The sequence below is a fragment of the Homo sapiens genome, chromosome 10, assembly GCF_000001405.40.
Source record: "Homo sapiens chromosome 10, GRCh38.p14 Primary Assembly".
Taxonomy (NCBI): domain Eukaryota; kingdom Metazoa; phylum Chordata; class Mammalia; order Primates; family Hominidae; genus Homo; species Homo sapiens.
Genome location: NC_000010.11, coordinates 139,945 through 153,068, shown reverse-complemented (window position 1 = coordinate 153,068; position 13,124 = coordinate 139,945). Strand labels below are relative to the sequence as shown.

The following is a 13,124-nucleotide window of genomic DNA, read 5'->3' as shown; positions in this document are numbered from 1 at the left end:
TAGGAATTTTCAATCTGTTCCAATACAAACAGCTTACACCAAAAGTTACACATCTTGCTTAATAAAGGAATGAATTTACTTCTGCCTTCATTTCGCTATGTACCCAGTAGTCATTCAGGAGCAGGTTGTTCAGTTTCCATGTAGTTGAGCGGTTTTGAGTGAGTTCTTAATCCTGAGTTCTAGTTTGATTGCACTGTGGTCTGAGAGACAGTTTGTTATAATTTCTGTTCTTTTACATTTGCTGAGGAGTGCTTTACTTCCAACTATGTGGTCAATTTTGGAATAAGTGCAACGTGGTGCTGAGAAGAATGCATATTCTGTTGATTTGGGGTGGAGAGTTCTGTAGATGTCTAGTAGGTCCGCTTGGTGCAGAGCTGAGTTCAATTCCTGGATATCCTTGTTGACTTTCTGTTTCATTGATATGTCTAATGTTGACACTGGGGTGTTAAAGTCTCCCATTATTATTGTGCGGGAGTGTAAGCCTTTTTGTAGGTCTCTAAGGACTTGCTTTATGAATCTGGGTGCTCCTGTATTGGGTGCATATATATTTAGGATAGTTAGCTCTTCTTGTTGAATTGATCCCTTTACCAATATGTAATGGCTTTGTCTCTTTTGATTTTTGTTGGTTTAAGGTCTGTTTTATCAGAGACTAGGATTGCAACCCCTGCCTTTTTCTGTTTTCCATTTGCTTGGTAGATCTTCCTCCATCCCTTTATTTTGAGCCTATGTGTGTCTCTGCACATGAGATGGGTCTCCTGAATATAGCACACTGATGGGTCTCGACTCTTTATCCAATTTGCCAGTCTGTGTCTTTTAATTGGAGCATTTAGCCCATTTACACTTAAAGTTCATATTGTTAGGAGTGAACTTGATCCTGTCATTATGATGTTAGCTGGTTATTTTGCTTATTAGTTAATGCAGTTTCTTCCTAGCATTGATGGTCTTTACAATTTGGCATGTTTTTGCAGTGACTGGTACCAGTTGTTCCTTTCCATGTTTAGTGCTTCCTTCAGGAGCTCTTGTAGGGCAGGCCTGGTGGTGACAAAATCTCTCAGCATTTGCTTGTGTGTAAAGGATTTTATTTCTTCTTCACTTATGAAGCTTAGTTTGGCTGGATATGAAATTCTGGGTTGAAACCTCTTTTCTTCATGAATGTTGAATATTGGTCCCCACTCTCTTCTGGCTTGTAGAGTTTCTGCCAAGAGATCAGCTGTTAGTCTGATGGGCTTCCCTTTGTGGGTAACCCAACCTTTCTCATTGGCTGCCCTTAACATCTTTTCCTTCATTTCAACTTTGGTGAATCTGACAATTATGTGTCTCGGAGTTGCTCTTCTCCAGGAGTATCTTTGTGGCATTCTCTGTATTTCCTGAATCTGAATGTTGGCCTGCCTTGCTAGGTTGGGGAAGCTCTCCTGGATAATATCCTGCAGAGTGTTTTCCAACTTGGTTCCATTCTCCCCGTGACTTTCAGGTACGCCAATCAGACGTAGATTTGGTCTTTTCACATAGTCCCATATTTCTCGAAGACTTTGCTCATTTCTTTTTACTCTCTTTTCTCTAAACTCCTCTTGTGGATTTATTTCATTCATTTGATCTTCCATCACTGATACCCTTTCTTCCAGTTGATTGAATTGGCTACTGAAGCTTGTGCATTCGTCACGTAGTTCTCATGCGATGGTTTTCAGCTCCATCAGGTCATTTAAAGACTTCTCTACACTGGTTATTCTAGTTAGCCATCCGTCTAATCTTTTTTCAAGGTTTTTAGCTTCTTTGCGATGGGTTCGAACTTCCTCCTTTAGCTTGGAGAAGTTTGATCGTCTGAAGCCTTCTTCTCTCAACTCGTGAAAGTCATTCCCATCCAGCTTTGTTCTGTCGCTGGTGAGGACTGCGTTCCTTTGGAGGGGGAGAGGTGCTCTGATTTTTAGAATTTTGAGCTTTTCTGCTCTGTTTTTTCCCCATCTTTGAGGTTTTATGTACCTTTGGTCTTTGATGATGGTGACGTACAGATGGGGTTTTGGTGTGGATGTCCTTTCTGTTTGTTAGTTTTCCTTCTAACGGTCAGGACCCTCAGCTGCAGGTCTGTTGGAGTTTGCTGGAGGTCCACTCCAGACCCTGTTTGCCTGGGTATCAGCAGCAGAGGCTGCAGAACAGCAAATGTTGCTGCCTGATCGTTCCTCTAGAAGCTTTGTCTTAGAGGGGTACCCAGCCATGTGAGGTGTCAGTCTGCCCCTGCTGGGGGGTGCCTCCCAGTTTGGCTACTTGGGAGTTAGGGACCCACTTGAGGAGGCAGTCTGTCCGTTCTCAGATCTCAAACTCCGTGCTGGGAGAACCACTACTCTCTTCAAAGCTGTCAGACAGGGACATTTAAGTGTGCAGACGTTTCTGTTGCCTTTTGTTCGGCTATGCCCTGCCCCCAGAGGTGGTCTACAGAGGCAGGCAGGCCTCCTTGAGCTGCAGTGGGCTCCACCCAGTTCGAGCCTCCAGGCCACTTTGTTTACCTACTCAAGCCTCAGCAATGGCCATCAATAAAATTGATAGGCCGCTAGCAAGACTAATAAAGAAGAAAAAAGAGAAGAATCAAATAGACGCAATTAAAAATGATAAAGGGGATATCACCACTGATCCCACAGAAATACAAACTACCATCAGAGAATACTATAAACACTTCTACGCAAATAAACTAGAAAATCTAGAAGAAATGGATAAATTCCTGGACACATACACCCGCCCAAGACTAAACCAGGAAGAAGCTGAATCCCTGAATAGACCAATAACAGGCTCTGAAATTGAGGCAATAATTAATAGCTTACCAACCAAAAAAAGTCCAGGACCAGACGGATTCACAGCCAAATTCTACCAGAAGTACAAGGAGGAGCTGGTACCACTCCTTCTGAAACTATTCCAATCAATACAAAAAGAGGGAATCCTCCCTAACTCATTTTATGAGGCCAGCATCATCCTGATACCAACGCCTGGCAGAGACACAACAAAAAAAGAGAATTTTAGACCAATATCCCTGATGAACATTGATGCAAAAATCCTCAATAAAATACTGGCAAACCGAATCCAGCAGCACATCGAAAAGCTTATCCACCATGATCAAGTGGGCTTCATCCCTGGGATGCAAGGTTGGTTCAACATACACAAATCAATAAACGTAATCCAGCATATAAACAGAACCAAAGACAAAAACCACTCTATCTGAGGAGCAGGGTTCCATTAAAAAGGAAGAGAAAGAAGTGTTGAAATAATGTACTTCATTAGACTCTGTTTCAGCCTTTCTTCTCCACTCCCACAACAGAATAATTGCCCTTCTCCTAAGTGATACAATGTCTATTTAAAGTGTGAGACTGGATAAAGTATAAAATTAGTGCCCATTTATACTAAAACATACCCACAATTTAATATGCAAATATTATTAACAGTACATGTATTAAGTATTTACTATTGTGTTGTTCTTTCAAAAGCAAACTACATTTAAAAAATAATAATACATTTTGGGAGGCTGAGGTGGGTGGATCACGAGGTCAGGAGATCGAGACCATCCTGGCTAACCCGGTGAAACCCCGTCTCTACTAAAAATACAAAAAATTAGCCAGGCATGGTGGTAGGCGCCTGTAGTCTCAGCTACTTGGGAGGCTGATGCAGGAGAATGGCGTGAACCCAGGAGGCGGAGCTTGCAGTGAGCCAAGATCGCGCCACTGCACTCCAGCCTGGGCGACAGAGCGAGACTGGTCTGAAAAATAATAATAATAATAATAATAATAATAATAATAATAATAACAACCACCTCAGTGTTCTGCCTCACAGCAATTCCCAGGCCACAGTGCAGGGATGGAGATCCAAAGGGAGTGTGTGGTCTCACTGAGCTGAGGAGAATGAGATCAGAGACTGGAGTGGGCAAGTTTCGGTTCAGCCTTTCTTTTTAGAAAATTCGTATTTTTCAAAGTCAATTACTTGCCATGAGTCAGACATCGGATCCTCTTCCCTCCCTATTATTTACAATGTTTAGGGTAACCATCTAACATTTCCTACTCTATTCTTCAAGTTCAAATTTCATAAAACTATTCTCTTTAAAATGCAATTCTAACTCAGCAGCAATTAATATAATTCTTGAATGTATCTGGTAATTTAAAACTGACAAAATTATGTATATTTAAGAAAATTTGACTTAGCACACTTTAAAAACACAGACGTTGTATGTTATCACCTAAGGTCTAACCCGGAAGACAGTAAGGACACTGACAGCAGTGGAAAATCAATGGTGGATGAGGCTGTGCTGTCCCGTGAGAAGAGCAAACGAAGAGCCCTGATGGGGCCCTGGTGAGCACCCTGTCAACAGTCAGCACCAAGCCCAGGGAGGCTTACCTGGTCACTCCCTAAAATTCCACCTGCCATGCATCTTGGCCTTTGTGGAATCAGTGAAGAATTATGAACACTATGTTAAAGAGAAAATAAACCTGTGGAAATTATCAGGCACTGCCTAGGTACTGGGATACCTGTGAAGCCTCAAAACACTAGTGTGAGTAATAAAATTACTAAGGAGTGAATGCAAATATTGGACGGTAGGGGTTGGAGCCACAGTGAGTCTTACACCTCAAGGACTTCTTCCCTGAGCAAAGGAAGTTAGGACTTCTTCCCAGAGCAAAGGAAGTTAAGACTTCTTCCCAGAGCAAAGGAAGTTAGGACTTCTTCCCAGAGCAAAGGAAGTTAGGACTTCTTCCCAGAGCAAAGGAAGTTAGGACTTCTTCCCAGAGCAAAGGAAGTTAGGACTTCTTCCCAGAGCAAAGGAAGTTAGGACTTCTTCCCAGAGCAAAGGAAGTTAGGACTTCTTCCCAGAGCAAAGGAAGTTAGGACACTCAGTTTAAAGACTCTAATCTACTCCTGTAGACTGCCAAACCTGTAGAACCACCTGTACATGGAAATATTACCCCCAGCCTGGAGGAATACCAATAATCACCTGAAATCCAGATAAACACCAGGGATAAAGAGGAGGCTAGCCAGAGACCTAGGCAGAGCCTGAAAAACTTTCTCAGGTGGTCTCACTATTGACTGAAGACATAACCCCAGGACGGTTGATCTGACTGCCCCAGGGAAAGACATTCAAGTTTTTCTGATGCCTATCAGGATTAGGAGACATCCTGGAGAGCTGACTACAGGACAGGCAGAACACTTTTGTATTGCTGCTTTTCAAATTACCAGAATGCCCAGACATTCAAACTGGATGGCAACCCATATCCTGACTATAACGTATCTCAAGATCTGATGTGCATTTACCTGTGATTATAGTTATATCTGTGACCATCAGGGAATATCAACCAATGATACCTTCGATATCCATCTTCCCTGGCAATACAGTAGCGTGTTTGAGGAATCCAAAAAGATTTAACGCTTTCATCTAGGATGCATTTACTTTTCAGGTTATTTTAATTATCCTCTTTTTAAGGGAACTTCATGGATCTGATTCTTGAAAGAGAATTTCTGAGGCTTGGAACTAAAAATCCTAGGGTATGACATTTCATATAAGCTATTCCAAAAAAAAAAATTTAAAAAGGCACATATACCTCTGCCCACTTCAAAAAATAAAAATTTGAAGCTTGAAAAGCTAAAATAAAACTGTTTACTTTTAAAAAGTAGAGCTCAATAGGAGGAACATACCTCAAAATATGAAAAGCCATCTATGACAAACCCAGAGCCAACATACTGAATGGGGAAAAGTTGAAAGCATTCCCCCTAAGAACTGGAACAAGACAAGGATACCTACTTTCAACACTTCTATTCAACACAGTACTGGAAGTCCTAGTCAGAGTAATCTGACAAGAAAAAGAAATAAAGGGCATCCAAATTGGAAAAGAGAAAGTCAAACTATCTGTTTGCCAATGATATGCTCATATACCTAGAAAACCCTAAAGACTCTTCCAGAAGAATCCTAGATTTGATAAATGAATTCAGTAAAGTCTCATGCTACAGAATCAATGTACACAAATTGGTAGTGCTGCTATATACCAACAACGACCAAGCTGAGTGTATTAGTCCATTCTCACACTGCTAAGAAAGACATACTCGAGACTGGGTAATTTATAAAGAAAGAGAGGTTTAATGAACTCACAGTTCCACATGGCTGGGGAGACCTCACAATCATGGCAGAAGCCAAAGGAGGAGCAAAGGCATGTCTTACATGCTGGCAGGCAGGAGAACCTGTGCAGGTGAACTGCCCTTTATAAAACCATCAGATCTTGTGAGACTTATTCACTATGATGAGAACAGCATGGGGAAAACCCACCACCATGATTCAATTATCTCCCACTGGGTCCCTCCCACAACATGTGGGGATTATGGGAGCTACAATTCAAGATGAGATTTTCGGAGGGGACATGGCCAAACCATATCACTAAGAAATCAAATCAAGAACTCAATCCCTTTTATGATAGCTGCAAAAACAAAACAACACAACAACAAAACCCTAGGAGTATATGAACAGAGGAGGTGAAAGATTGCTACAAGGAGAACCACAAAACACTACTGAAAGAAATCACAGATGATACAAACAAATGGAAATACATCCCATGTTCATGGATTGGAAAAATCGATATTGTGAAAACAACCATGCTGCCCAAAACACTCTATAGATTCAATGCAATTCCTATCAAAATACGAACATCGCTTCAATAGAAATAGAGAAAAATCCTAAAATTCTTATGGAATCAAAAAATGGCTCAAATAGCCAAAGCAATCCTATGCAAAAGAACTAATCTGGAGGCATCACATTACCTGACTTTATACTACAAGGCTATAGTAAGCAAAACAGCATGGTACTGATATAAAAGTAGACACACAGAATGGAAAAGAATAGAGAACCTAGAAATAAGGCCAAATACTTACAACCAACTGATCCTTGACAAAGCATACAGAAACAAAATTGGGGAAAGGACACATTATCTAATAAATGGTACTGGGAAAACTGGATAGCCATACGTAGAAGAATGAAACTGGATCCCTAGCTCCCACCTTATACAAAAATCAACTCAAGATGGATTAAATACTTAAATCTAAAACCAAAAACCATAAAAATTCTAGAAGAAACCATAGGAAAAACCCTTCTGGACAATGGTCTAGACAAAGAATTTATGACTAAGACCCCAAAAGCAAATGCCACAAAAACAAAAGTAAATAAGACCTAATTAAACTAAAAATCTTCTGCACAGCAAAGAAAATAATCATCAGATTAAACAACCCACAAAATGGGAGAAAATATTTGGAAACTATGCATCTGACAAAGGACTGGTATCCAGAATCTACAGGGAACTCAAATCAGCAAGAAAAAAAATCCCATCAAAAAGCGGACAAATGACATGAATAGACACTTCTCAAAGAAAGATATACAAATAACCAACAAACACGTAAGAAAATGCTAAATATGACTAATCATCAGGGAAATGCAAATTAAAACCACAGTGAGGTACCACCTTACCCCCACCAGAATGGTGACTATCAGAAAGTCAAAAACCAATAGGTGTTGGCATGGATGCGGAGAAAAGAGAATGCTTACGAGAATGTATAGTAATGTAAATTAGTACAACCTCTACAGAAAACGGCACGGACGTTCCTTTAAGTACTAAAAGTAAATCTACCATTTGATCCAGCAATCCCACTGCTGGGCATCTACCCACAGGAAAAGAAGTCATTACATCAAAAAGACACCTGCGTGCATATGTTTATTGTGGCACAATTCACAATTGCAAAGATACGGAACCAACCTAAGTGCCCATCAACCAATAAATGGAAAAAGAAAAAGTGATATATATATACATATATATATATACATACACACACATATATATACACACATATATACATATATATACACACACATATGTATATACACATATATACACATATATATACACACACATATATATATACACATATATATATGGAATACTCTCAGCCATAAAAGAAAATAAATAAAATAACGTCTTTTGCAGAAACCTGAATGAAGCTAGAGGCCATTATTCTAAATGAAATAACTCAGGAATGGAAAACCAAATACTGCATGTTCTCACTTGTGAGAACTAAGCTATGGGTACACAAAGGCATACACAGTAGTATCATGAACACTGGAGACTCAGAATGGGGAAGAGTGGAAGAGGAGTAAGAAATTTTAAAAATCTCTTTAATATTTAATATTTTAAAAATATTGGGTACAATGTACACTACTCAGGTGATGGGTGCACTAAAATCTCATACTTCACCACTATGCAATTTATCCATGTAACCAAAAACCACTTGTACCCAAAGCTAATGAAATGTGTATGCATATATATATTATATATATATTTTATATGTAGAAATAAAAAATTAGAGCCCAGACTCAACCCCTGAGATTCTGATTTAATGTTTTTGTTAAAAAAAAAAAAAAAAAAAAAAAGGAATTCAGACGCTCAGCCAGCCATAACTGAGAACCACTATGCTAAATTACTCCTGGTTCCTAATGTGAGTTGTGTAACACTGTCATCTAAAATTCTAAACAGTTTATTTTAAAAAATAGGCCAGGCAAGGTGGCTCACATCTGTAATCCCAACACTTTGGGAGGCCGTGATGGGCAGAACACTTGAGCCTAGGTGTTCGAGATGATCCTGGGCAACATGGCAAAACTCTCCCCTCTGCCAAAAAAATACAAAAATTAGCCAGGTGTGGTGGCATGCGCCTATAGTCCCAGCTACTCAAGAAGTTGAGGCAGGAGGATGGCCTGACCCCAGGAAATCAAGGCTGCAGTGAGCAGTTATGGTGCTACTGCACTCCAGCCTGGGCAACAGAGCAAGATTCTGTCGTAAAAAACAAAAATTAAAATAAATAAATGAGGTACAAATACTACTGCAATGATAGTAAATTTTTCCTCAGCATGAGCAGAGAGAAAGTCTAACTTTAAATTGTACTGCTGGCTGTTCAGCTTTTAATTCATTTGAAAATAACTAAGACTAAAATTATTTTTATTTGAATAGTCCTTAAAATATTAAAAAAAAACTTTCAAATGATTCAAATGGCAGTTTTTTTTTTTTTTAATTGAGGCAGGGTCTTGCTCTGTGGCCCAGGCTGTAGTGCAGTGGCATGATCTCCGCTCACTGCAACCTCTGCCTCCTGGGCTCAAGTGATCTGCCCGCCTCGGCCTCCCAAAGTGTTGTGATGACAGGCGTGAGCTACCTGACCCTGCCTCAAATGGCAGTTTCTTACCTGAAACAATCCAACATGAATATTGATCACAAGTGAAAGGCTTCGTAAAGTTATAACTGTAGAACATATACGTGCAGACTGGTAAAATAAGTATTGTGAAATAAAAGATCTCTGGTACTTTAATATTAAATTTGATATTTCTAAACATACAAGCAAATGCCAAATTGTAAGTACAGTAGAAAAAAATACTGTAGACTTATATCCTCTATAATTTAAAAAGACAACATCTCTAATGGTAAATAACCTCCTCTCAAAACCTATTAAATATGACATCAATGGAAAGCCCAAATAAATTTTTCTCATTTTTTTTGTATTGCAAGAACTGGGCAGTGAAAGTAGGTATATTTTATATTAATTGAGGAAGGGCTCCATGTCAAAATTCAATAGAAAATTAAGGACCTGCTCTCTAAAACAGCATTTCTCAGACATACTTTCGAGATAGAAAAACAAGCAAGAGGCAGATAAATCAAGAATCTACAAGAGAAAACTAAAAAATTCATAATAGCTTTCAAAAGTTGCGAGAGCTTCCCCCATGCCTAGCCCTCAATTATCCCGTTGCAGCATCACTGCTGAGTGTCAGGATGATCTCAATCTGTGGGTGCTACAACTCGATTATTTCTCTCTTTACCATACGCTTCTCACAAAATGGTATTATTTTATGTTAGATGACGGCACACCCAGTGGAATGCTGAAGCCTTAGCATTTAATACAGCTTTCCAGAAATTAGCTCTCTGAATCCAAATTGAACTTACACAAGATTCCTCAAGACAATGACTTCCCTTTCCAAGACAGCAAGAATACTTTAGTGTTGGTGTTAATTCCAAATATTTTCAAACAATTTTCACCATTATGTGAGTATTAAAATGAAGACCTGCAGGTGCCCCGCCTCCAGTGCTCCTGCCCCTGAACCAAGTTATCTTCCTAATGTGAGCTACCATAGTGACAGCAAGAAAATGAACCAATTATCTATGCTTGTTCTCAGATTACTACCTGTCATTACCGGTGAGTTGGCATTAACCAGAACTTCATAGATAGAATGTTTTGATTGCCCAGAGTTTCCTAATACTCCTGTCTTTCTACCTCCTGCTTTTATAAGCAGAGTGGGCATAGTTTTACACTTTGTTAATATTACGTACTTTTGCAGACTTATAAAAGTGCATTGGGAAAATGAAGGAATATCACTGTAAAGATTTAAGAAGTTTATGGGTTTTAGGGAGACAGAGTAGCATAGCAGGTTACAGGTGTGGTAGTCATACATTGGAATTCAGACCAATTTGATTATGTCTCTATGACCTTGGGCACCAGTAACTTAACCCTTCTAAGTCTATTCCCTCATTATAAATTGTTACAATGACACATCCCTCATGACGCCTCTGTGAGGACTAAATGGGATATGCGAATTGCCTAGTATGTGAGATGCTCAAAAAGTGACACCTTTAAAAAAACAGGCTGGGCAAGGTGGGTCACACCTCTAATCTTAACACTTTGAGAACGAGTCAGGTGGTTCGCTTGAGCTCAGGAGTTTGGGACCAGCGTGGGTAACATGGTGAAACCCCATCACTACAAAAAATTAGCCAGGCATGGTGGCACAGACCTATAGTTCTAGCTCCTGGGGAGGCTGAGGTGTGAGGATCACTTGAGCCCAGGAAGTGGAGGTGGCAGTGACCAGAGTTCTCGCCACTGTGCTCCCTACAGAATGAGACCCTGTCTAAAAGCAAAACAAAACACAAATAACACAAATGGTGCTGCCACAAACAACTCTCATGATTAAACCCAGCTTCCTAAAAACTGCTTACAAAGTAGACTCATAAAGCGACCTAATGTGTACAGCCAAATTAAAATGTATACAAATCAGATTGTCTTGCTATAAACCAAAATATCTTCCCAATTTTTAAAAATAGCCTTTTTAACCCGAGTTATGAGAGCTAATATTGTATGACAAGCTCTCAACAGAAATCCTTTGAATTTTTTAATATCTTTCATGTTCACATGATAAATGTTTAAACTAGGAATGAAGATCCTTTGCTCTTAACCTATATTTTAAATTAACATAACATGCAGACCAAACCTCAGAGAACAAAAAACTAAAAATTTAAATTGGATCTACCTTTCATTTAAATGCTCAGATAATATCTGGAGAACACAATATATGTTTGATATTTAATACAGCTCTACTTTTCAACAGAGTACTTTAAAAGTTACCAATCATAATAAAGTTGCTTTAAAAACCCTCAGGTTGTTAATATAGTAAAATCTCAAAGTTACAAATTGGGATAAATTTTAAATCATCAGTGCTAAGACTTTGCAAGTAATCTTAACACAAATACGACTTATCTTAATTCATACAGTGTCCTACAGTACCCAGGTCGGAGTGCAGTAGCTGATTTAGCTCACTGTAGCCTCAAACTCCTGGGCTCAAGCAGTCCTCTTGCCTTTACATTTTATTGTGCTTGCTTCAGTAAATGTGTTACTCTGAACTGAAAACTCTACAATGGCAAGAACCCTCCCTCATCTTGCTCGCCTCGGCATCTAAGATATGGCACATACCAGAGTTTCGATAAATAACAATGTATTAATAAATGGGGTCAAGATATTAAAATTGCATATATTCTCCTTATATGAAAATAGACAATATTTTAGTGTGATCTTATGAAACAAATTATGAAGTAACTTGAACTATAAACACACTGATGTAAAACTAGTTTACCTACTATACCTAAATATTAAGTTTACAGAAAAATGAAAATACTGTGTGTATTTCAGCGAAACACATTTTCCAATTAATGTGTAAGCTAATGTGGTCTGTAAACATATCCCTCTCATCTCTGAAAAACAAACAGATCGAAGAGTCCATATGATTCCTTTAAAACTCTGATACAGTAGTATTCTATTACTTTTGTCATTTCTACTTCTTTAGTTTTACATAAAAGTGGGCAAACTTTTAGACATTTATGAAGCAAACACTCTGGACATTTGCAGATGTTACCAACATTAAATGAAATGTGCCACATACTCAATGCAACTGTAACTTCACAATTACCTAATAGTGTGAATAGCTTAAGTATGTGCACGTAAGGGTATTTCTACTTCTATCTGATTGAACACATTTTAAAAGAATTTACCCAGCACTTTAATTATGAAAATATTTTCCAATGTGCTAAATTCTCTTTAAAAGAAACCTGAGATAAAAATCAGGAAATTACTGCTGAACAGGAAAAATATATATGCAATGAAAGATTAAATATCTAATTAGGTTATTTTTTGAATTGAGTTAAATATTTATGTCTAATAATTTGCCAAATTTCTCTCCTAAGACCTAATAATGGATAACACAAACACTAAAAATATTTTTTATTTTACAGATTTCTTTGCATTTGCAAATAATTTTGATACTAAAACTTGTATAGCATTTCCATGATACAAACTAAATAACTCTATGGATTTTCTAATGGAAAAACAGTAACAGCAGGTGCCCACACACAAATCTTTCCTTAAGCAATAAATCATTTCTGCATATGTTTTTAAAACCACAGCTAAGCCATGATTATTCAAAAGGACTATTGTATTGGGTATTTTGATTTGGGTTCTTATCTCCCTCACATTATCTTCATTTCTATCATTGACCTCTTATCCCAGAGACTCTCAAACTTTTATGTTATACAAATCACATTCTGTCTCAAAAAATATCTCACCCACTTCTCTTCTGTTTCTGCGTGTGTATGTGTGTGTGTGTGTGTCTGGGATAGGATGCAATTATAAGAGTGTGCTACAAGGTGAACTTTCCATAATTAAAAGGAAGACTGACTGCTATGCTTTTAAGATGACAATGTGTGGCCAGGCACGGTGGCTCATGCCTGTAATCCCTGCACTTTGGGAGGCCAAGATGGGCAGAT

At 38.5% G+C, this 13,124-nt stretch overlaps 1 protein-coding gene and 1 pseudogene across 35 annotated transcripts in view, besides 1 other annotated feature; one reads left to right on the top strand and one right to left on the bottom strand.

Moving 5' to 3' along the window:
* Positions 1-13,124, bottom strand: part of ZMYND11 (zinc finger MYND-type containing 11) — a 124,550-nt gene that overhangs the window by 101,569 nt on the left and 9,857 nt on the right. The gene's annotated exons all lie outside the window — the stretch shown is intronic.
* DDX20P1 (DEAD-box helicase 20 pseudogene 1) lies at positions 4,273-5,239 on the top strand (annotated as a pseudogene).
* Positions 12,726-13,020: a silencer, noted in NCBI's record as "tiled region #15592; HepG2 Repressive non-DNase unmatched - State 7:EnhWF". NCBI's record gives its function as "represses a minimal TATA promoter and a strong SV40 promoter by Sharpr-MPRA in HepG2 cells {active_cell/tissue: HepG2}" and the evidence as "EXISTENCE:reporter gene assay evidence [ECO:0000049][PMID:27701403]".